We start from the raw sequence: 22,974 nt of genomic DNA on the forward strand, positions 1-22,974 counted from the left end.
CATAACTCAATAAAGCTCTTTTTTAAAAAATAAAATGTCATAAAACTTTCTTTTATTAAATGATGAGAGGACTCTAGTAAATATTTTTTATTACCAAGAATTATTGCACTTCTGAAATATTTCACAATTCAATTCCTAGTTTAGCAAGAAACATTACGAAGCCAGGAAAGCTAAGGTCTACACTAGTAGTCATCAGTACAATTGTCAGAAAACATAAGGAAAAGTTATTTGATAATGTAGTATTCTTAATTTTAATAACTTTTAAAATTCATGGTTCTTTAAAAAAGTAATGGGTTGCATTTCATCTACAACAGGGGTTGGTCTACTTTGATTTGCATTTTAATCTGGTATCTGATCAAACTGTCTCTGTAGTCATCATTTTTTGTACCACATGGTGTATATTTTAGCTTTCTTAGATAAGCAGTCAGAGTTTAGATTGCAGCAAAGTAAGAAGTCACGCACTTAAAAAATCTTAAGGATAGAGATGATTGAATTGCGGCACACTATCTGCAATAACATAGAGGTCACTTTTTCAGACAAAATGCCTCTTTAATAAATCCAATATCGTACTTTAAGCCTCTTTTCTGTTCTAAATGCAGCCAACAGATGAACCGACATATTCAAGATCAAAACCATAGGTTAATTTGTGTACTAATTTGGAATTTGGTCGCTAAATCACCTGGTGTTCATTTCTTCCTAGAGCAAAGCTTTCTTAAATAAATTTATTGATCAGCTTTGTGAAAGATTATATACATATTATTGGTTCTTCTACAAATTTCCAAACCATATGCACCAACATAATTTTTTGAACCTTCAAATTTAAAAGATTTCTAGCCATGGTTACACTGTGAAGTTATAAATAATACAGATTACACAGCATGTAATTGAATGCTGAGTTCAGAAGTTCTAACTTAGATCATTAATCCTTCCATTCTTCTGGAAGAGAGTGAGGGAGACTATACTCATTCTACTTTTACTATATTAATACAGTTAATAGCCAGATTGGTGACATGTACTTCCATGGAAATACTATTTTTCTCGCTTCAGTTTTTGAAATATTGCCTTAAATATTATCTTTGTTGTGCACAAGCTTCCAGGCAAACTTACATTTTGAGTTTCTACTAGAGCAGACACATAAGAGGATAGAACAAATGGAAGAAAACTCTCACCTACTCCAGGGTAAATTGTCACTGTCAAGAATGACATAAGCAAGACACTGGTTTTTGTTTTGGTTGTTCCTCCAGAGGGTTTTAAGGTCATGTGCTTTCACTTGATTCAACAAAATATTCGGATCATAAAATGTTAATCACCAGACACAATTCTCAATGACATAGACTTTTGCCAAAAATTGAAAACAATGTGGCATATTCTGAAGGCAATTTCAAAAGAGATGTTAAGAAATATTTTGACGAATCATAGCGTCACTGAAATGTCTAGTCTTTGAAAGGCAAACCATTTTTAGATGTATGTTTTACTGTAATGTTCTGAATACCACATTACTTGATATCACAGACTTTAAAAAAATTAAAAACTCTCAAAATATCAGGACTACTGATATAACTCAACCATTATACTTTGTAATCAAACCAGACGATAGTAATACTGCTCCCACTGTGTGGCTTGGCTTGAAAGAATATGAGAGGTACTTCTCTACATTTTTTCACCTCTGTCCTTGTATCTTTGGAAGTTCAGCCAAGTTATATTGACAATAAGGTTTTTTTGAGGTCATAATGAAATAAAAAATGCATAGACAAAATTAACAATGATAGACTAAACTATCTAGTCCCTGATTTATCAGTGCTTTTCTTGATTATTGAGTATGACACTCTAAAGGATAAAGGCTTATTTTTGAATCTTATCTTGGTAGATGAAGAATGCTGGTCAAATTGGAAGACCAACAAAGTTGTGTTCTCTGGCAAATCTTGCCCCACAGCTTTGCTCTATCACCAAGTAAGAATTCATTACTCTCCCTTACAAGATCACCTATTAAAAGTTTACTATCATTTTCCTACTAATGACTAGAAGATGCATAAACAGTAAAAATAATTTTGATTCAAAAATCAAAAGGCCAGAAAATAAACTTTTACTCAGGTACTTCTACTGCAGGGCTGCCATTAGATGACAATAGGCATCTAGTCATTACTATATTGGCTTTTGCTTCAAATTAAGCTCCACTTGGAGAAAATGAAAGATTTCTATACTTGTCTATAAATAAAATGTGTATATATGGTAAGAAAATGTTTATTTACCATATTATTTTTCTTTAGTTTTTGATGACAGGGAATTTGCTATCACTTGTTTTTAAAACATCATCTTAAATGAACTTTTGTTGTTTCAGCCTTTGAAATGTGTAGAGACTTGGCCTTCAAATTTGTTGGTGAGGAAAAAGGAAAATTGTTAAGAAGCATACTGAATACGTATCACTTTCGCATCATCTTAATGTCAGAAAACTGTAAGTCTAATCTTCGTAAGTCGGGGACCATCTGTAGCATTCTAGACTTGTAAAGAGTGATAGTATACTAACATGATAATAAGCTTCCCAGAGATTATTTTCCACCGAAGTCAGTAGCTATCAAGTGCAACAGGCTCAACAAAAGTGTCTTGTGACTTGGTAGGAGGCTGCTTCTTTCTTATGACAAAGCTGAATCTATATGGCCAGTCTGCAGTACATAACTTTTTTTGTCTCTGTTTTTAAGAAAGTTCAATATCTATTTATGTCATAAAATTAGATTAAGATAGCATTTATTCATTGTGCAAGATTTTGGATTGGAAAGAGCTTTAAATGTCATTCATTAGCCACGTGTTCTTCTCTTTCCTCACACATAGTTCTCCTTTGTAACATCCCCACCAAGAGATTAACCTCTGTAGCATTGAACATCTCAAGAGTGGAGAACTAACTACCTCCTGAAACAACTTATGCCATCTTTGGATAGTTCTGAATGCTATAAAATCCTCCTCTAGAGCCAGAAACTGTGGATTCATTAAATTCAGTTTTATTCTCTTCAGAGTTTAATGTTTATAGTTTCATTCAGTTCACAAATATTTATTGAATGCTTAGTTTGTGTCAGACATTGTGCAAGACACTGAGGTAACAGATACAAATAAGACATGAATAACAAACTTGGGAAATAAATTAAATCCACTTTCCTTAAGAAAATCCCTTGAATATTTGAAGTCAGCTAGCATGTAACCCAAGAGTCATGTCTTCCAGATGATACAAACCCATCTAACATGATTCCAGCACTCTACTGATCTGAACATTCTTGTGAATGAATTCCCATCATTCTGATAAATGAATTCCAATCTTCATTCTTAAAGTATGTGCCTGAAAATACCGTATATAGCCCAACTGCATTTTGACTCTTTTTATGAAAGTTGCAAAAGCTCAATATAAAATTATGTTTCCCAGCAACCAGATCACACTGAAGGCTTGTTGATCTTGATGTCAACTAAAATCAATAAGTATTTTTTCACCAAATGTTCCCAGCTTCGGTGACCTAAATTTGTGCAGAGAAGTTTGATACTCAAATTGAGCATCTCACATTTATTACTATTTATTACTATTAAGTTTCATCTTGGTCGGTTCAAACTGTCATGATCTTTTTGCATGAAGGGCCAATTTGGTAAAACATCTTTTACATTTGTATTCAGGTCATTGAAAAATTCGAGTTTTAGAAGTCCAGCCCTTCTTGACCATTCATCTTAACCTCTTGCATAACAACAATGGTAGTTATCATTGTTGCTTATATTCTTTGTGCGAAGTATTAGGATAGTTGTGGAAAAAAGGAGAAGAGAAGCTTATGGTTAAATGCTTCCTCCTGAGATCCTTATAATTTGGTTGAGGGAATAGTTCTTACAAAAAGAAAAGAAGGGATTCGGTAGCAATGAGTGATGTTGCGACTCATTTGAAATAATGTAATGATATTGATTTACAGACCAGAGAAACCAAGCCCATTACTTTACTTTAGACATAACTCCGAAACAAGGAAATGTTTGGTTGCATGGTTATAGCTCTAATTATTACAGAAATGGGAAGTAGAAATCATAATGGTCTGAAAGAGTCAGAGTAAGATATATGGGTAGCAAGACTACTGGGCTTCAGCGACCAGTAGTCTTGAGCTAAGAATGAACAAGAAATCACTGTAGTCCTGGACTTTCAATCTCAGTTTAATTTAAATAAAAGGTCCTAATTGCCATCTTTGTTATCCTAAACTGGAAGAGTGAAATGCATGCCTATAATACAAAATGCATTCGTCATAACACGAATGCGCTCCAAGACAACACATATTTCCCTACAGAACTGATGTCAAAGTAGCTCCTAGCTCTTTCTCCTTTTTGAGGCTACAAGATTCCATTCCCAATCCCTATTCAAACTTGCATGCATGTTGCTATTTTTTCAAACATATACTTGGTTACTGGAAACTACACAAAATACATATTGTATTACTAGAAGGATGTTAGATAAAATTAATTAAATACGGTTTTTTGCATAAAAGAAATAAGCACAGATTTTTAATTGTGATATACCTTTTTTTTTCCTTAGACGTGGCAGAAATATGTGATGGGAACTTCCAACTCCCCCTCCCAAAAGGCTTCCAGTCTTTTTCTCTTCCCTTCAATGGGAACTTCCAACTCCCCCTCCCAAAAGGCTTCCAGTATTTTTCTCTTCTCTTCAATGAGAGCGTCAGAGAACCAGTGTTGATTGTTGTTTTTCTCTAAAACAGAAGATCTTTCCAAACAGAAGTTTCACTTACAGAGACTGACACGATCAGAGACTGCCCCCTGCCTTCCTACACAGCACACAGAGTTCTACTGCGTTATTTTTTTATTAAAAATAATCCTACCAACTTTAAAAAGACTGTGTATAATAAGCTATCTATGTCTAAGATTTTTTTCTAAGTCTATGACCATGTTTGAGGCACAGTAAGGGAAAAGTCAATTGTGTTCGATGTCATAAAAGTTTATTTCTAGGTGTGGCATGCCTCAACGATGGACATTATGGATCTGATGCTGGGTTTTTACGATTAAGTAGTAATAGCGAATGCTGAAAATATAATTTGATACAATTGTATTACTACCAAAAACATATCTGGCTATGATAATTTGCTTTAAAACTGAAAAAATATGGGTAGAAGTATTATCAAAATTCCTTGCATTTATGTCCGGTGGTAAATAAGAAAAAAAAAAAAACTCCCGGTAGAATTCTTGTGTAGCTTCTTTTGATCTGTGAAAATACCTGCCTTCGAGAATTTTGCTAGAATCCTGTCACTCATTTTTTAAACCTGTCTGTCATCCTTTAGGTGTGTTAAAATAGGGCTCTCTGGTCAAGAGGGGGAAATAATAATGAGTAGAGAAGTAAACTTTCTAGTCAGTTTATTTTTTTAAAAAGTTCCCAAAGTTTCAAATGATGAGGAACTTTTTCCTACGTAGTAACAATCTTCTTTAATTCTTTCCCGAATTTCTAAATCAGTAGTTTTGGAAACATATGTATTTGTAGTAGGAGGAAATCGCCCCGGTTCGAAAGTTGTAAAAACAAGTCCACAGCCTTAGAAACCGGGAAATATTTGGAAACCGTGTTCCGGGGGGCACTGGGGATTTTAATCAAACCTGAGGAATTCACTGTAAATAACTCCTCTTTCCAGGGACAATTTCCATACACCTGAGGAACGGAAAGGAAAGCAGTGAAAACCCTGGGCTGACTCCCCAGGCCTCGTTAGGCAGGGGTTCCAGAAAACCTCTCTGGCAATGACAGAGCGACAGAAAGCGCCAGCATGTGCTTGTTTTGAGTTTGCTTCCCCAGTCCTAAAGTGCGCCCTAAATTTCTCCTTACACTAAATTCTCTGGTCTGGTGTTGCCAAAATCTCCAAAGTCCGTCGGACCTTGCAGCGCTCTGCCGAGCCGCAGCCTAGAGAACCTGAAGAGGCAGTACGCGCCGCAAATGCCAAGAAAGCAGAGCCTTCGGTCCCGGCGGAACCCGGTACCCCGAGCCTCGCCGCGGACCGCTCCGGCTCAGTCTTACAGGCTCTGGGCCGCTCGGCGAGCGCCGCTCAAAGGCTAACGTGCCTGCTTGTTTCTACCCGACCTCCGAAGCCCAGACGTGCTTCAGCAAGCCGCGTGGCTAGCAAACTTTCTCTCTGCTGCTGCGGGAACCTTCCCAACGACCACGTGGGTTTCACCCCTGGTCGCTCTCGGCACTTTTGCCTTTCACAAGGAGAAGGAGAGAACAGCCTTTAGAGCGAAATATATAATAATAAAAACTATTATTACCATCATCCTCATCCTCATAATTGCTATTATCATGGTCAATTTCTCCAAGCCGGTTCCCCCGGGAGCCGGGGAGCGAGAACAGGTTTTGGCGGATGCTAACTTCCACTCGCTGCTCGGCAGATCCATTTTGGCTTAGCAAAAATATCACAGGGATTTATATTTACATTTTTTGAAGTAATATAAATGTCTCAGCCTCTGACAAAATAAATACGAGTCCCGCCAGAAAAGGCAAGACTAAGCATTCCACATTCATAGAGTAAGGGGACACTTGGGGAGTTTTTAAAGATGAGTGCTTAATTATTTAAAGAGAAGACATACGTTTTCTCTTCCATATTTATAAATTACTGTTCGCTACCAAAGCATTTCTAAAGATGCGAGCGTTGTGCAGTCGGTGGACTTGGCAGCGCTGTCGCAGCCACCTGTGCGGCATCATACAGCAGCATTCAACAGATGCTTCAAGAAAACTGCGATGGGTTTTTGCTTTTCGAAACAGAACTTGGGTGCCGACAGTATGTTCACTGCCAAATTAAATTTCAAAGCCTGAATTCAGTGGCGATGGAGGGAATCAGAGGATTCCCAAAATGCCCCTTTTGGAATAGACTGGACAGCTCCTTTCACAAATATGGAAACAGAGGCACAGAGAGAAATGACTGTTCCTAGGGCATCCAGAATAAGGAAGGGGCCTGACCCTTATCATTGCTTCCACTTCCTTCTCCATCTCTAACTTTTGGGGCTACTGAGGCAAACTTCGGCCTTCAGAATAGCCGGCAGCTCCCACCCCTTTTGCGTTCTGCCGGGTTAGGTCCTCCAAGCCTCTCTCTGTACGGCCTCTCTGTAGCCTCTTCTATACACTCGCTGCGCTGCCGTCCGGTCCTAAGTAGCCAAACCGGAGGCTCGATCTTTTGCTTCGGTCCAGCTACCTCCGACAGGCGGGGAGCCAATCTCCACTTTTCCCACCCCGGTCCTCGGTACAGGGCCGAGAAACCTCGGCCGCGACCCGAGACCACCACCCCCGCTCGCCCCTTCGTTCCCTCTTAGGAGAGATCTGCTTCTGTCCCCATTCTCCGTGGGATCATCTCCATTACTCAGCTTGGTTTTGGTGCCTCTGAGCCAAGGGGGCCCCGTTCACCCTTCTCTGCGCTGCCGCCAGGACACCGCAGGCACCTGCCCGGTTGCGCCTGGGAGCCTGTGAAAAAGAGCTCTGCCTGACCGGTTAGAGCTCTGCCTGACCGGTTGCAGCTCGGCATCCCAGCAGTTGCCAAAAGAGAGCCTTTGTGGTTCACCTCTTGCTGCCTTGACCTTGCATTGACAGCACCCCTCCCTCCCCCACAACGACTGGGCAACCGACTGGCTGTGGGCCCAAGGCCCTGTGCCAGAGAGATATGTTCACCCCCTTGGAAACCCGTAAGAGCTGCCCTCAAGGTGTCTTTCTAATGAGGCCTGTGGGGTCAAGAAAGGAACTAAACTGTGCCTTCCCGGGGCTCGAAGGCCAAGAGCTTTTCTTTCTCCTTTGGGGTTAGGGAAAGGATGGGGAGACAAGGATGGGGAAGTGGGCCTTATAACAGGATTGTGGCCTTTGCGCACTCACCAAATGTTTGACCCTGTGAGTGCCTCAGTTGCTACTGTTGGAGGAATGGGCAAGAGTCGGAACAGAGACCCTTGAAGGGAGTTTCAAAGCTTGATGAAATTTGCAAGACTTGAGAATGCTGTTTGTTGAAATGAAATGTACAGGGGTGTGTGTGTGTGTGTGTGTGTGTGTTTGGGGAGGGGTATGCTATGAATCTTTGAGGGTACATTCTTGAGAAAGCCTTCCCTCTCTCTCTATCCGGTGCCATGGCTGATCCTGGTTCCCCCTACTCTCTAGGCCTTGTGAATCAGATTAATCATCACCCCCACCCCCATCTCCACCATGGGGTCTCGCGCCCCCTGCCAGCAGGCTCCAGATGCACTAAGAGACCGGTCCAAACAGGCCCGGGGGCCACGTAATGCTGAGTGCTGATTGGCTGCTCTTGGCTCCTCCCCTCATCCCGCTTTTGGCCCAAGAGCGTGGTGCAGATTCACCCGCGCGAGGTAGGCGCTCTGGTGCTTGCCGAGGACGCTTCCTTCCTCAGATGCACCGATCTTCCCGATACTGCCTTTGGAGCGGCTAGATTGCTAGCCTTGGCTGCTCCATTGGCCTGCCTTGCCCCTTACCTGCCGATTGCATATGAACTCTTCTTCTGTCTGTACATCGTTGTCGTCGGAGTCGTCGCGATCGTCGTGGCGCTCGTGTGATGGCCTTCGTCCGTTTAGAGTAGTGTAGTTAGTTAGGGGCCAACGAAGAAGAAAGAAGACGCGATTAGTGCAGAGATGCTGGAGGTGGTCAGTTACTAAGCTAGAGTAAGATAGCGGAGCGAAAAGAGCCAAACCTAGCCGGGGGGCGCACGGTCACCCAAAGGAGGTCGACTCGCCGGCGCTTCCTATCGCGCCGAGCTCCCTCCATTCCTCTCCCTCCGCCGAGGCGCGAGGTTGCGGCGCGCAGCGCAGCGCAGCTCAGCGCACCGACTGCCGCGGGCTCCGCTGGGCGATTGCAGCCGAGTCCGTTTCTCGTCTAGCTGCCGCCGCGGCGACCGCTGCCTGGTCTTCCTCCCGGACGCTAGTGGTAAGTTGGAGCCCCGGGCGGCATTGCTAGCCGAGACCCCAACGATTTAGGCGGGGGATGGGGTGGGGAGCGGGGACAGGTCCCGGATGGCTGCAGCCTGCAGGACCGCACTGGCCCTAGCGGAGGTTGGGGGGAGGGACTCTGAACGCGCAAATCGCGAGGAGACTGAGTCTCTGGAAGAAGAGAGGAGCTTAGGTTCCACGGAAGGAGCATAGAAGTCTCTAAGGGGATTGGGAGCGGGGGCTCGAGATGAAGACGCTGGGCGGAGGCGGGGGTCTAGAGAACCTGGCGCGGGGGAAGCCGAGACAGAAACGGAAGGCGGGGGTGGGGTCTCAAGAAGTGAGGAGTGGGAGGAGAGAAAGGAGGGAAACTGAACGCAATGTCGCTGAGTAGAGGGTCGGGCTGCGGAAGATGCAACTGAGTTGCAGGACCGACTACAATTTTAAGAAATCCGACAGCAGGCAAGTGGGAGGGGGCGCAAGGTTTGGGACAGTGTGTGCAGAGGGGGAACCAAGGATCCTTTATTATGTTCTCATTGAAAAGCGACCCTAATTTTTCTGGCGGGTCTCAGCGAACATCCGTAACTCTGGGGAGATAACACACTGCGGATCTGTGTTTGGTCTAACAGCTGTTAGCTGAATTTGAACAGCGCTGCTGGTGATCACGTAAGCTTAAGAGGAGAGGATAAAGGCATCCAGTGAACCTTTTTTTAAATAATTAATTAGCTTATCTAAGTCATTTGGTTACTGTTCTATATTTTGAAAAGGATTGCGAAAAAGTCTCCAGCGCTGCCTCTTATTCCTGTACTCAGTTTTACCTGACAAGCAGTCTTTACAGCGTTCCTCGGAATTGCTAAACATGAGAACAGGTTGCCGTTCCTGATGTCACATAAAGTTCGTCATTGCAAAACGTGTCTGTGTGTCTGTTTCTTTTCTGCGCCATGCCCTTTGCCTTTTGCTTCCTGTTGGGTAGTATGCGACTTGAGGTGACAAACACTTGCATTGTGTTTGAGAACCCTGTATTTTAAGCAACAGAGCTCCCCAACTCATAATTCAGCGAGTGACATTCGGCAGTTAAAAGATTTGGTCTGGAATCACTGCCAGTACCGCGCAGCTTCTTCATTAATATTACCAGTATAAGTCCCATCCAAGGAAGCCTCTGATTGCTGAGCCACTAAGTGCATATGCCCCTTACCTCATACCTTTTAGGCAGGCTAACCGAGGGACGCTCATATATGGTTGAGCTAAGATGATTTGGGGGGCGGGGGGTGAGGAAATGCGGCGCACTGAGTAACCTCTGAGCTCCCCAGTTTGCAGACAATTGCGACCTCACATACACGGTAATGAAAAAAGATATCTGGGCTCCAGAGTTTAAATTTTTCATGAAGAAGTTTACGTACATATCAGCCATTCTGACAATCAAAATATGAGTGCAATAGAAACAAGGTGTTACTGTGTAGTTGGCTACATATGTGTAGAGACAATGACAAAGGCCAACTGACATGCCCCACAGAAAATGATATCTACCGTGATCATTGCATCTCTTTTGCAGTACTGAAATCATACTGAATATTGTCTGTTCTGAAGAGTATAATCTCCTTAGCACCTGGCTGTTTGGGAATCATCTACAATGCCCCCCCATTCCACCCCACAGGTGGGGGGAAATAAATAATTTTGTCCATATTTTGGGGAGGTAGGTTATAGAATATTTAATTATATTTTTCATTCCTTAAATAAATTCTCCTGATCCTCCTGGGGAGGGAAGAAAATATTTGTTTCATCAACATGATTTCTTTCCTAATAGCGTCTATCATCTACAGCAACAAGCCCAACGCAAGTCCTGAAATTCGGAAGGTGGATAAGGCTTGTTGATTGCAATGTCAAGGTAGGATTTGGGGTGCTTTAGCAAAAATGACGGTGTTTTTCTATCTGCATTATCTAGAGAGGGTTATTAACCCTTTCTATGCTTTCTTGAGGGGTTTATCTCCATCTAGAGGTGTCATGGATGACAGTGATGACTTTTTCAGATAATGTAACAGGCTTTTGTGCAGTATGAATTCATCAGAAAAGAGGTGAGAACTGATATTTCTGGGAACCTCCTGGATGCCAGACGTGGATCCAGGACTATTACATATATATACATAAAATATATATTATTTCATATAGTCTTCATAGCAAGTCTATGAATGACGGAGATATTATTATCCTCCATTTTATCGGTGCCATTAGATTTTTCCCCTCAATTTTTCAAGGTATTCTCAAAAGTTAATTTAAGGCAAGAGAATAAGAAATATTTATTTGTGCTTCCAAGTCTACTTGGGAAGAGCAATAAAAGTAAAATCTAAAAAGCCTAACATTCTAATAGATTCATCCAACATTATAATTGAGTCAAGCCTCAATAATTTTACTGTTCCATGTATTTCCTTCAAGGAAACGTCATCCCTCTCCAGCTAAGGGAAACACAAAAATTAAAACAAAATTTGGGGGAGAGATTATAGTAACCAACATTAAATATCCTCAGCTATTCTTATTAAATTGTTCAAGGCCTGAGATTGAAGGAGGTTGCAGTTTGCTGAGCCTGCTGAAAGATAAATTAATTCCCAGGTTTTAATGGCTCCTGAAGCTCCAGACTATTTGTCCAGTATTATTAAGGAGCATCTTACCACCTCACTTTCATAGCAATGGAATACCTCACAAAAGGATGATGTACGTGTACTGAGATTATTTTAGTAAAGCATCTGATACAGCTTAGTATTGTCTAGTGGAAGAACTGCTAAATTATGTTCCTCTAGCTGCCTGGTAGCCATGAGCAAACTAGGAAAACTTCATCATAAATTGAAGTTAATAATATATTATTGTGATATTTTATGTCAGTATCATATATAACCCCACCTGATTGTTGTGAAACAGATGGGTATTAAGCACTTTGAAAATTTTAAATTATTGCACTAAGCAACATTTATTATTTATTTGTTAGCATTCTAGGCTACCTATGTCATTTCATCTACATATTGTACTGTTGAACCTCAAAAAGAAATCATCAATCTCCAGTCTAATGTGTGCTCAAGTTATGGATCTCTCCAACACTGCCATTCTTCAAGACATTTTAAGAAGGCTTTTTCATATACTGAGAACATTGCTGCAAGACAGTCTAGTCATCTCCATTCTAGACAAACAACATTGAAAACAACCAAGTGGTTAAGCTGCATCATCATTTGGCAAGTCATTAGCAGATTTAATACTAATGCTCACCTGCAACAACTCTTTGCTAATCACTTCTGACATTTTAATGCACAAACGACATAGTGAAATCAGGATTTCAAATAAGATATACACAAGATGGAATTTTAATTCTGTTTTTGTCTCCTACCTGGCATCTCTACTTCAACCTCGCTATTCATTCCTCTTCTCAGCTGTGGCTAAGACAGTGTCATCTGCAGTTTCCTAAAATAGTTGCGTATTATAGCATTGTACATATAGCTGGCATTTGAAACAGTCATTCTTCTTAATTATGGTTAACCTTATGCATAGATGACCACTTACATGGTCTAATTTGAGAAGCACTCGAAAGGCCTTCTGGTCCCTAAATTAGTAGCCTTCATGGTTTTCCATATAACTTGAAATTCTACATTCAGGAATTTCCCTCTTTCATCTTAGTCACTGTCTCCTTTAAATACAAGTACACCTTTGGGTAACATACTGTTATTATTACCTATTAAGAACTATGCATAAATTTATTGAAAGCTATTAGAAAGCCTTTAGAACTGCATTGTCCAGTGCAACAGCCACCATATATGGGTATTTAAATTCAGAGTTGAATTAGCGTTAATGGCAAGGTGTGGGGTTGAGCTCAATGTAAAAATAAAAAGTGAAAACTGAACACCACTGAAACCAAAGATAATGTCAACTAATATCTAGACAAGGATAGCAATGAATGAATTGGCTAGGATTTCCTTTACTTTTTCATAAAACATGATGTCTTCTTTAAACTAATCAGTAAACGCTTACGAATAAATGTCAGTGTTCAAATCTTTTGCAAGTGTATTTTAAACTTACGTATCTCCCATTTTATCTCAGTAATCAAGACTCACTGAATACTCTTCAATTATAGCTTCCTGTAATCAAAGTAGTAAGACTTGCCCAAATTAGCAAGTAATTATTCTTAAGAGGAGAGGTATAAAAGATGGTAACAGTGGCCACTATTTATTGACATTTACCATGCACTACACAGTTCTAAGAGGTTTACAGGTATATAACCATACAAGCCTGATGACTACCCCATGAGAAGGTACTACTATTATCCAGTTTGCAGTTAGGGAAACTGAGGCATACAAAGAGGTTAATCTGTTCAAACTGAATGAACAAAACCAAGCTTGAAACCAGGCAGTTTTATTCCAGAGGCCGTGGTGTTAAACAACAAACTATTGCCTCTGTTTAGAAATTGGCTAATTTTTCTTTCATACTGTAACAACTAGTCTTTTAACAGAACAAATTTGCATGTAAATGTGAGGATATTAATGGACAATGTCCATTAATCCTCGATATGCTGCTTGGCAAGGCAATGAGACAGACATGCAACATTTCATCTAGAGATTCACCTACCAATAAAGAAGTAGAGCAAATGAGAATGTACTGTTAATGCTGAGAGACTGAGGGACAAGAAGCTGAGTGAAGCTCAGGGGAGTTACAGAGATAATACAAAGACAGAAATGAAGTCAGGGAAATAATGCTATTGTATGTAGAGATGACTGGACAGGCAGATGTTACTACTGTGAGTTGGACCCACAGGTTTCTACTACATGTAACACCACAACAAAGGCCATTCATATTTGTCATTTATATAATATTGCCTACTTGAAATTCAAGCAGTAAAATAGAAGCTCTGAAGGTCTAAGACCGACTGACAGAAGGATCAGTAAAAATCGTTTATCTCTTTCCGTACCGATAGTGCTCCCGAAAACATGGTGAATGTTCCTAAAACTCACAAGACTTAAAGAAGTGTGGCTAGCACCAACCCCACAAAACGACACAGTACAAGAAGGGCAAAGATTCTCTGTATGCCCAGGGAAAGCAGCATTATGACAGGCAGCGCAGTGAATATGGTGGGCAGACTAAGCCAATTTTTCGGAAAAAAGCTAAAACTACAAAGAATATTGTGCTAAGGCTTGAGTGCACTGATCCCAACTGCAAATCTAAGAGAATGCTGCCATTAAAAGATGCAAGCATTTTGAACTGGGAAGAGATAAGAAGAGAAAGGTCCAAGTGATCCATTTCTAAGTGTCATCTTTTGTTTTATTATGAAGACAATAAAATCTTGAGTTTGTGTTAAAAATTATTTATCATATATCAGGAAGGTTTCAAGTCTTGTCTGATCCCATTTGCCATGTATTTCCTTTTCATACTAGAGTCAGGAAAAGTAATTTGATAGCTATGACTTGGAAAATAGGTGCTATAAAAAGTAACTGCCAGTTTTTTAGTTTACTGATCTGAGCCCAGGTAGAAAAACCATATCTGAGTACAATACTTAGACTAAAGTTATTTCAGGGTAGAAAGACCATACTTGGAAAAATTCTAAATATGATTAAAGTCTTTTTAAAAGTAGGTTTTTAAAAATTCAAAAACCAAACCAATTACTTCCATTTCTTACTTCCATTTTAAATTGACAAAAAACCTGATCCGTGATTAAAAAAGAATTTATTGCTAGAAAGATTGGAGAAGTCCAGTACTGTGGTATGTAGCTTTCTCTCCCAAATGTATCTATATTCTGTCTGATCTTCAAGGTCCGTTTCAAGCCCCACCTCTTGCAGGAAGCTTTTGTTGACTAGCCCACATATATGATAAGTGCCTTGCCCATAGTAGGTAATCAGTTAACATATCTTGATTGATTGTATTGTATTCCAATGGTTAAAGTAAAGGTGAAAGAAGATGAAGGAAGAGCTAAAATAGAATTTTTAGCACATCTGCACAATAATATTCAAGAATTCAAGGCATCTAACAGAATAACAGTTTCCCCTGAAATGATTTCAGGTAATTTCTCTGAACATATTTTAGGGCAATAAAAATATTATAAATCTTCTTAAATTAGTTTAGCTAAAGCTTAGCCCTACCACACTGTTTTATTTTCCATTTCACAGTGAAATACACCATTATATATACATATATGAGAGAGAGACCATTTCATTGACCACATGCATGGCTATAGAATTCTCTTTTTATTAGCAAACTGAGTTCTGCACCCATTTTGCGGTATGGGTTGATGGCTCAGAAAGAAGCGCAAGTTTTCTTTTTAAAATAGCAATTCCTAAATGCCTTTGCAGCAAATAAACTTGTAAATAAGAGCTTTATTTCCTTCCTTTTTATACTGTTAAAGGAAATCAGACATTAGTATTAATGAATTGCTCTGAGTGATCACGTCATGAATCTATTAGTTTTTTTTATCTTAATTAAACAGTTAATTTAATGCTTTGTGGCTTGTGGGTAGATTGTTCTAGCATTTTTGGTTGGTCAATGACTCCCAGAGGTCTAATAGGCCTGTATCTTTTAGTTTTAAATGTAATGTTAGTCTAAAATAGATTCAGAAAGAAGTTGATTACTTCATTCTTGAAGGAAGTAAAACAAGGAAGATCTGGTGTCTCTCCAACAAATATTTTTTGAAACTTCATTTTGAAAAAGCAGAAATGAGCTGGTTTCTCAATAGATTTATTTATTTAGTCATTTCATCATACCTCTATATCTATTTTTAAAATCACTATGTAAATGGAAAAGAACTTGTATGGTAGAATTATGCGCCCAAATGACTATTCATTGATACAATGACTTGCTCTCCAAAGTATTATTTAAGTTAGCAAGGGCAGATTCTTTAGTTTGGAGGATTATTACCCACCTCTCACTGGGTAACTGTCTGTGTCAAATTTTCCTGCTTCTACTACCAAACCTCAGCCAATTTCCTAAATTTCACGTAAGTAAATCTATAAAATTCACTGTCCATATTTATCTGCCAAATTAGTGAACTGTAAGATGAAGATGAATAAAGAAAAGCCTGTAAGAATTATGGAATTTCAGCAATGGCTTAGTTGAAATTCAGCAAGAGAATTTCAGTTGAGGGCTTAATGTACATTTAACACTTTGTTGGATGCTAATGAGGTGAAAAACATATTCTACAATACTTCCCTAAGGAAACAAATAAGTACTGTTAGACAGTAAAGGCAATTCAATGTAATAATGTAGTTTTGCAATTTATGGTATAGGCAACATTGATTTCTCTCTTTCCTACTCTCTCACTCAGGATGAATGAAGAAAAAAATGGTCCAGTCATTTGCTTAACTCAGGCCTCAGTTTCCACAACTCCAAAATGAGAGCCTTATACTAGGTAATCTTTCTGTAAGGATCCTTCAAACTAACCTCTTTGTTATAAACAGATACAGAATACAGAAACCACTGAGGTTATATGACTGACTTCCCTAAGGTTACAAATATAGAGTCACAAATTGTATAATATATAAAATGGGGAAGAGAACATGGAGAAAACTCCCACAAATTTTATTAGGTTGGTTCAAAAGTAATTGTAGTTTTCACCATTGTGGTTTTCACCGCAATTACTTTTGCACCAACCTAATTCAGAATTTAAAAGTGAAAAACATTTGAATGCTGAGAAGATAATACATTGTTATAAAGTAATTTGAATTTTTACCATAGATTTATACTTTACTTTGGGTAAGTGCCATTTTCAGAAAGGCAGCCAAATTTGTACAAACATAGTGGATATTCTGAGTCTCTTGATTGAGAATGAAGCAACAAGATCAAATAAAAGTTCATTTGTTTCTCTAGTATAATACAGAATACATTTATCACAACACTTATAGAGTGAGAAATTATTAAAAAAACACTCTATCCCTTCTCCCAGATTTCTTTAATTTCTTATGATAATTGAAATAATGCTTGTCCTTCCTACCTTGGATTCATTCGTGGATAACTTTTCTTAATTATTCCCCATTTCAGTCCATTAATACAGCTTCAGAATTATTTCTGAAAAATGTTGTTCAAATGTGCCACCTTTTAAATTCCATTGTGATTATAGACTCTTAGGGTTAGTAATTGAAAGCTCATTTCAGACAACTCCCTATCTCATGTTTGAACTCTGCACATCTCCCACTCTCTTTACAATGGCACCAAATAATGCTACCCAATTCCTGGGCAGAGCATAGATAAGGCTAAAAGTTGTCAGCTACCAAAGTAGCTGCTGAATATCAGAATGAAACCCAGGGACTCTAAAGTGGGTTATGAAGTGATGAGCTTCAGCTAACAGGGAACATTAGGAAATGACTGCAGACAAATCCTCATGCTTAATTCAGAGAAAGATGTACGGTTTGATTGGAGGGGGTGAGGAAGAAGGATATCATACAGACTATAAAGCCAAGAAGCAATGCTTAGAATGCAAATGTGTTATAATTTTGTGTGTGCAGTGTAAAAAGACTACTGGCCATATTTTAAAAAGTCATCTAGGTTACACTCACATACTTAAGAACACCAGAATTTCCATTTTAAATTTTAAGAAAATAGACATAATTGTTTGCACCTCTTACATGGCACTTAGCACATTGTATTACATTGTTTTTTCCTTAGATATGGAGTCTTGCTATGTTGCCAAAGCTGACCTTGAACTCCTGGGCTCAAGCGAACCTACTGCCTCAGCCTCCTGATTAGCTGGGACCACAGGTGCATGCCACTGCACCTGGCTTCTATCGCATTTTATTTTTATTACTTGGTTTTTAACTTATACTTTAGAGGCAGGCCTGGTGTTAAAGGTTTTACATGCATCACGTCACTTTTAAATTTGAGTCTTATCTTTCCTACTGGATTATAAATTCACATGGAACAAAGATTATAATTTATTCATGTTTATACTCCCCAGCTACCGTTTGCATATATCATTACATATTGTGGCTTCTCTCAACATATATTTGCTGAATAATTAATATACAAAAAGACACAAGCACTGTGGGAAAGGTATTTATAGTGCAAATTTGGAGTTAACTAGAACCTAAGTTCTAGTCTGTTATAAGCCTCTATGTCCTCCTCCGCCAAAAGAGAAAATCAGACTGGATGGTTACTGAGATAATTTCAAATGCTACAACTTTAAGAAAATATCAACAGTTTCTAATTCTGAAAATCCACTTCAAATAATAATACTCAGGTAGTTGATTTTATGCCCCAGAAGATTAATGGTTATGACTCTTCAGCTACTTAAGTAATTCTTATAAAATCTCAAGTCAATATTCACTTCAGGTCTCTAACTTGTCATTTTCCATTCACTCCAGTGCCCTACATTTGAAATGATTCATGTCTTAAAGATTTCTGAGTGATTGAAGACATGTCTTCTTTTTGTCTTTTGTTATTTAAAGTAAATTTAAGATATCTTTGGCTATTAATAATAAGTAACATTCATTTTAGGTGATTTATAATAAATTAAACTGTGCAGCTACAAACTCTACACAAAAGAAGTTACTTAACTATTTGATAGGACAGATAACACTCTCCTGCATTTTCAGAAACGATTAAGCCATATCTTATAGTTAATCTAATATATAAAAAAATGAACTTCCTTAGGATTTAGAAATGTTACTAAAAATAATTAGCATTGTTTTTTTCTCAATAGGGTTTCTAGAAGATTTCTAGACATCTTGAACGGTGAATCATACCATAATAGATATTTTACTTTTGGGGAGAAGAGAGATGGGTGTAAAACAGTTTTCAATATTAAAATGTTTAATACATATATAGAAATTGAAAAAGAAGTAAAGGTTAAATGGATCAAAATGCTTTGGCAAAAGGCATTTTGACATGTAAGCAATTCACAAATGTAAACAATTCCAGTTATTCATATTGTCAACCTTTGAACATAGATAATTCTTTTACCCATAGTAAAGAACATTGGAGATACTTATACTTTCTAGTTCAAAAGTTTTCATTATTTTAATTCCTATAGCTCTAAAGGCTTCAGAAAGAGAGATTACAAATAACATGTAGACAACTCCAAATTTCTTGATCTTACTACAGATTCGCTAATGCAGATATGTTTTTTTGAGATTCATCCCAATATCTACTTTCCATTCTCTCTTAACTCTTTTTATATTTTCTATCAAGTATTTTTAAAATTTTCTTCATTTCCTATTGTAAATTTTTTCAGCCTAAGAGCAATTCTTATATTCTGTTTCCTGTTTTCTCCTCCCTAATTTTTTATCTTATTTTCTAACGAAGGCAACATATAGCTGAAAGGGTTTAATAATACAGTCACAGAATATCCTTATTATTAATATATCTACTTTTTACACCATAATACAAATTTTCTTTGTAGATATTTTAGAGATTGTATATATTTTTCTCATATATCCCTTCATTTGATTTTCAACATAACTTCGACTTAGTTAGGGCCAGTATTACTACATTGATTACACAAATGAGAAAACGAAGGGTAAGAAAGGTTAAATTACTTATGTAAAGTCACACAATTAATTCTACAGCCAGATTCAAACAAACCCATGAGTTCTTATTCAGAATTCCATTCTTTTTATTTTTTTGAGACAGGGTCTCACTCTGTCACTCAGGCTGGAGTGCAGTCATGCGATCATAGCTCACTGCAACCCCGAACTCCTGGGCTCAAGCGATTCTCTCACCTCAGCCTCTCGAGTAGCTGGAACTGTAGGTGTGTGTCACCGTGCCCAGGTTGTTGTTGTTGTTGTTGTTGTTTTGTAGAAATGAGGGTCTTGTTATGTTGCCCAGGCTGGTCTCGCACTCCTGGTCTCAATCATCCCGCCTCTGCCTCCCAAAGTGCTGGGATTGCAAGCACGAACCACCATGCTCGGCCCTAAAATTTCATTCTATTTCCAGTACTTTCCCCTCTCTTCATGTCATGGATATTTAGTTCCAGAGAACTTCAGATGCTTAGAAATAAATGATACAATTAGGAAGTTATAGATATAGATATGTGTATGTATATTTGTATATATATATAGAGAGAGTCATGTTACTCCCAGATGTTTAAAAAGCATGATAAATACTTGGTTTTCTACAAAGAATCAGACATTCATTTGCATGTGGTCAAGATTTAAATAACAATAGACTGACTAATGAGCAATATGACAGATTAAAACACAAAAAAAAAATCCCAAATCATTTTCTGCAGAATATATTGGAAGTCTAGCTATCTGGTTGCACTTTAGCCAAACAAAGTTTCCTTAAAATAAATCAAGCCTTGATTGAGTTCTGCTTCAAATTTTTCAAAAGAGTGCTTCAACTTATTATGACTTCTCTCTTACTTTCATGACTATTAGCCCTATCCCTTTCACATTTCCTGTAATAGCCAGAACCCAGATAACAGAGGGTACCTTCTGCATTTAAAAATAATCATTTTCCAATACTTGTATTTAAAGAAAACATTTCTACCTTACCCACACACATGGCATATTTTTAAAATACAGAAGCACTGATAAACAATTTAACATTGCATACCCTGGATTTAAACATTTAAAATATACTGTGCATGTGGATAAGGTAGCAATGTTTGCTTTAAATACAAGTATTAGAAAAACAATTTTTAAGAGAAAATTTTAATTAGTATAAAAATTGATGAAATAATTGAATAATATTATCCCAAAGTTAGCTTTCAGTGGAGAATTTTAAATGGGAGTTCATTAATATCTTGCTGAATATCAATAACGTAAATGCTGAGTTTATGGTTTAGCTTCATGATTAGAAATTGTCTTATTCCTTTATTATATTTTTAGATTGAATTGGATATAGGCTATTACCTTATAAAGGGTTACAAAAGAAAACAAATTCTGGACAAACATTCATCTAGATGCCTTTAATTATATTTCATATGATCATTTTGCCCCTGTACTAGAACATTTATTTTTTGAGGAGTATTCAGTTTCCTCTATTTGTATTCAGAACTCCTTTGAGTCTTTGGGGGGTGATCCCAAATGGCAGGAAGAAGAAAAAGAAAAGTTATTTATAGCTTGTTCATGACTTTTATCAGTGTTCCATTTTGATTTCCAATTACTTTCCCCTGGAAAATATATCTAGATACCTTATCACTATCTTTAATGAATCTAAAGCTGTACAATTTGTGTTGCTATAAAATAATTTCAAAAGAATTATTCAAACTTTTGTCCTCAGTCAGATCTTAACTTGTGGTACTCCAGCCTGCTCTTGATCTGTCTGAGTAATCGTGTAGATTTCTATCACATCATCATCATCATTTAAGAAATATTTTTTGTGTCGGCCATGGTGGCTCACTCCTGTAATTCCAGCACTTTGGGAGGCCAAGGTGGGCAGATCACATGAGGCCAGGAGTTCGAGACCAGCCTGGCCTACATGGCGAAACCCCATCTTTACTAAAAATACAAAAATTATCCCGGCGTGGTTGTGTGTGCCTGTAATCCCAGCTATTTGGGAGGCTGAGGCAGGAGAATCACTTGAACCCAGAAGGCAGAGGTTGCAGTGAGCCGAGATCGTGCCATTGCACTCCAGCCTGGGTGACAGAGCAAGATTTCATCTCCAAAAAAAAAAAAAAAAAAAAAAGCAAAGCAATATTTTTTGAAGCTAAATTATACCCGACATTGTAAAAAACACATGTTAGAGAATATAACACTTGTTCTTAGAGTCACAAAACTGTCAAGGGAGGATTTAGCAAACATTTTACGGTTCCTACCATTGAGAAATTTATCTTCTATTTGGGAAGATAAACTGTATTGGCATGCAACAAAAATGAAGACATTATATAGTGAAGGACTAAATTGTGTACCACATAAAAATGAAGGAAAAGAAACAACTAAAGGAATTTTATTGGCATAGAGAGGAAATGAATTGGAGCTTGAGGACAAGTAGGGTTTGAATTGACACAGAAGGACAATATTCCAAAGGGCCATAGGATATTCATGTTTCACGGTATGAGAAGAGGTAAATTAGGAACTAGTTAGTGGGGGTGAGAGTCACCTCTAATCTGAATATGTTTAAAACAGTGGTGAGACATGCACCATCAGATGTTCTCTGGAGAAATGAAAATGTGATACTGGATCTCTGGAGATAGAATTTCGAACAATCCATGCTACACTAGTTTAGCTAAATTTCAAAATTGTACAAAAAAGAGAAGGTTGTAGAGAGAAAAGAAAAGAATGGAAGTCCAAAAATAAAGCATTTATTATTTAAAGTTTTGGGTAATATTTAAGATTGATATTTACCTGGGAATATTAATGATGAAACTTTTCTCAGGTTTTCCCCAACTTTAGACATTGTTACATTCAATAATTGTTAAGATTCTGCTCTGGGCAAGACATTTGACTGAGTACTTCAGGGCTTCCCAGAAGAGGAAACAATACTTAATTCTGATCTTTAGTAGTTTGAAGTCTAGTCAGTAGCTGGAGATCAAATATATGAGCTCTACACAAAGGATTTGGCAGCAAAGGTTACTGTTAAATTCAGAGAAGATTGTAAGAGCACAGTAGATAGAAAAGAGATTGCATGGGATGAAAATATTGATACAAAAACCTCTTTACCCCAAAGCCCAGAGAGGAAGTGTAAATTTGGATCAACCCTTTTGGGTGCCATTTTCACTATCACCTAAACATAGAGTGGCCAAACCTCTTTTTGACTGACTCACAGAGATTTTCGGATGGATAAGACTTTTGTTTAACAACAGAAAAAGCCTCCATGAGTCTGGAGTCATTCATATTCAGTCCTGTTGCTTTTATTCCCTTAACTTAATAAAGATAAGTAAATCAGCAAACAGGAGTTGAGTGCCTTTTGTGTGTTTAGCAATGTATTAGATTATTTGAATGATGCCAATAGAAATATGTAAGGTCCCTTATATAGTTAGGAGTCATATGAATTACTTGCTATCAGCAAGCCCTTAGAAACCTGAATTATACCTTGGTTTAAGTTACAAGTAAGTAATGAGCTGTAGATAGACTTTCAGTTAAAATTAATAGTCCAAATACCATATGACTGTTAGTTCTCAATGCCAAAAAGTCATCCATTTTATGAGATTATTTTTAGGAATACCAGCAA

General features: G+C 38.1%; 1 protein-coding gene and 1 pseudogene across 3 annotated transcripts in view, besides 1 other annotated feature; both read left to right on the top strand.

The window, feature by feature from the left end:
• Nucleotides 7,835–8,334: an enhancer, noted in NCBI's record as "H3K4me1 hESC enhancer chrX:113818053-113818558 (GRCh37/hg19 assembly coordinates)". NCBI's record gives its function as "activates a minimal SCP1, AML or CMV promoter by ChIP-STARR-seq in naive and primed H9 embryonic stem cells {active_cell/tissue: H9 hESC(naive and primed)}" and the evidence as "EXISTENCE:reporter gene assay evidence [ECO:0000049][PMID:30033119]".
• The window catches only part of HTR2C (5-hydroxytryptamine receptor 2C), a 325,976-nt gene continuing 311,336 nt past the window's right edge, over nucleotides 8,335–22,974 (top strand). For all 3 annotated transcript variants that reach the window (NM_001256760.3, NM_000868.4, NM_001256761.3), the window contains exon 1: nucleotides 8,335–8,908. The gene's annotated coding sequence lies outside the window, so the exon portion shown is untranslated. The remainder of the gene's footprint in view (nucleotides 8,909–22,974) is intronic.
• Nucleotides 13,839–14,234, top strand: RPL36AP53 (ribosomal protein L36a pseudogene 53; annotated as a pseudogene).

This window comes from Homo sapiens, chromosome X (assembly GCF_000001405.40).
Source record: "Homo sapiens chromosome X, GRCh38.p14 Primary Assembly".
Classification (NCBI taxonomy): Eukaryota; Metazoa; Chordata; class Mammalia; order Primates; family Hominidae; genus Homo; species Homo sapiens.